Consider the following 2,823-nt stretch of genomic DNA (forward strand, 5'->3'; position numbering starts at 1 on the left):
TACATAGGTAAACACATGCCATGGTGGTTTGCTGCAACTATCAATCCATCACTATTTAGGTTATTTTAAATAAAAGGGGCCAGGCGCCATGGCCCAAGCCTGTAATCCCAGCACTTTGGGATGCCGAGGTGGGTGGATCACCTGAAGTCAAGAGTTCGAGACCAGCCTGGTCAATATGACGAAACCCCATCTCCACTAAAAATACAAAAATTAGCTGGACATGGTGGCACGCACCTGTAGTCTCAGCTACTTGGGAGGCTGAGGCAGGAGAATCATTTGAACCTGGGAGGCAGAGATTGCAATGAGCCGAGATTGTGCCAGTGTACTCTAGCCTGGGCGACAGAGCAAGACTCCATCTTAAATAAATACATAAATAAATAAATAGGAAGGGGGACATAGCTAGGATGTGCTTGATATTCACATCAGTCACCTGAGATGTTCGTGAGAAATAAAGTGTCACAGATTCACTCCCAGAGAGTCTGATTCTGCAAGGTGGGGTCCAGTAATCTGCATGTTTGACAAACAGTGCTGATGACTGTCATGGACACAGAAGTTTGAGAACCACTGTCTGGGAAAGAAAGGAAGAGCTGCATGGGTATTTTTAGATGTTTGGAGAAGGAGAATGAGATGGCCAAGCTGAGAATTCCCTGGGCTGGGAAGGCCTTAGACCTCCTGAGAGCATGGTGCTACCAACTGAGCTGGGCTGGCCCCATTGTGTGACCCGCCACACTGCACCTGGGTCTCTATTAAAAGTCCTCCCAAACTTGGGAGGTGATAGATGTATTCATTATTTGATTGTGGTGACAGTTTCACAAGCGAATATCTGTCAAAATTTTTCAAAGTATACACTTCAAATATGTGCAATTTGTTCTAAGTTCATTAATTTCAATAAACCTTTTTTTAAGAACTGTTGCAAACACAACTGCCCTTCATGAGGGGGGCTTTGATAGGGTCACCTAACTGGAACACTTCAGAAAGTGAGAGGGGAGATAATACAATGGGACAACATGCATAAGCCATGACCATCCCTGGCATATCTGGACATTTGATCACCCTCTGCTTTGGGGACATCAGGGATTGGCCAGGACAAAGGGAAGAGGAATAAAGGTGAGAAATCAGAAAAATCAGGAAACAGGAGCTAGAGGTGACTAAGAGAAGCAAGGATTGTAAGAAACCTGTTGCCAGCACTCACTAACTATGAGTTCTCAGTGCCTATACTAGCTCAGGCAAACCTCACAACAGCCCCATTTTACAGGTAGGCAAACAAAGGCTCAGGAGAGTGACCTGCCTAAGGTCACCCAGCAGTAAAAAGCAAACACTGGATTTGAACTCAGGAACACTGGCTCTAGGAACTGTGAACCTCACCCCTTCTGGGACTACTGCCATATGTGAGTGAGAGACTCAGTCCTTCTTAAAGATCAGTAGAAATCCATAAGGCCAGAGGGCTGCAGAAACCACACACAGCTACAACCTCTGGTCACATTCACATTGACTGGCTGTTTCCTGGGGTTCCCAGCTTCTGCTTTCAGGACAGTGTCTTATGTAATTCTCACAATGACTGCAGGGCATACATTTTTATTATCCTCCTCATTTTACAGACTAGGAAATCGAGACCCAGAGAAGTTTGCCCCGAATCATCCAGCTGGTAAGTAGTGAAGCCAGGTTGAAACTAGGACCAGAACTAGACACCAAGACCTGAAGTTTACTGTCATTTGAATTACCCAGGGATCTTATTTAAATGCAGATTCTCATTTAGTAAGTCTGCCACAAGGCCTGAGATTCTACATTTCTGACATTTTTGGTTGTTGTTGTTGTTGTTGTCGTTGTGTTTATATTAACCAAGACCTCCTGGAAGGCCAGGATTTGTCTTACTCGTGTGGCACAGTTCCCCTGTGTTGCATGTGTTAGAAGGAAGGCCTGGGACCCAGGAGCTTCTTGATGATAATAATTTGATGCGAAGGAAGGAAGGAGCAAAGCAAGATAAGAAATTGGAGGCTGCCCCTTCTTGCACACCTACCTAACACCACAGCTTGTGCTCAGAGAGCACACGAAAGAAAAAGAATCACATTTCCAGTATTTTCCCACCACTGTTGCAGCTCAGGGCAGGAGCCTCAAAGAGGCGAGGGAAGTGACCAGGGGACACACAGCCAGGGCAGTGATCGGTGCCAAGTGTTGCTCTCTCTGCTCCATGGAGGAAGCCCAGGCACTGATTCTCACCCCTCCCTGCGTCCTGGGCCAAGCTGGGAGCCCAGGAAAGGACATTCCAGGAGGAAATGCGTGGTTTTCACTCCAGTGCCCCTCCATGGACCACAGCCCTTCCCTTCCCTCACTCTCAGGTCCTGACTTCTCTCCACGTGGGGCGACCCAGGTGGTCTGTGGCCAGGGAGGCTGAGTAGGCAGCAGGGCCCATGAGAGGTGGGGGCTGTGTCACCACAGGCTGAGAACACACACACTCGCTTTCCCATAAGAATCCAGCCCAGCCACTGCCCAACCCACCCGCCAGGACCACCACAACACCAACTTTCTCAGGAAACCTGGATGGGGCTGAGGACTCAGGAACTGACATGAGGCAATTGGAGGCCTCCGAGGGGGGAGAGAGGAACCACAGTTGGTGTTTTGTGGACGGAGTATGAGGCGTTTGCTGATCTCAGCAGACCAAGTGCCTCCTGTCCCTGCAGAGAACCCGAGGGGAGGAACTGACAGCAGGGGGAAAAGTCTGATGACCAAAGTCAGGACAGAGACGAAGCAGAGAGCCCATAGACAGGAATAGACATAGAAGGGCAGAGACATTGGGGCCAAGCGAGACTCCACGAAAAGGAGAGG

General features: G+C 48.7%; 1 annotated feature.

The window, feature by feature from the left end:
* Positions 1,747-2,308: an enhancer, noted in NCBI's record as "H3K27ac-H3K4me1 hESC enhancer chr20:39398981-39399542 (GRCh37/hg19 assembly coordinates)". NCBI's record gives its function as "activates a minimal SCP1, AML or CMV promoter by ChIP-STARR-seq in naive H9 embryonic stem cells {active_cell/tissue: H9 hESC(naive)}" and the evidence as "EXISTENCE:reporter gene assay evidence [ECO:0000049][PMID:30033119]".

The sequence above is a fragment of the Homo sapiens genome, chromosome 20 (genome assembly GCF_000001405.40).
Source record: "Homo sapiens chromosome 20, GRCh38.p14 Primary Assembly".
NCBI lineage: Eukaryota > Metazoa > Chordata > Mammalia > Primates > Hominidae > Homo > Homo sapiens.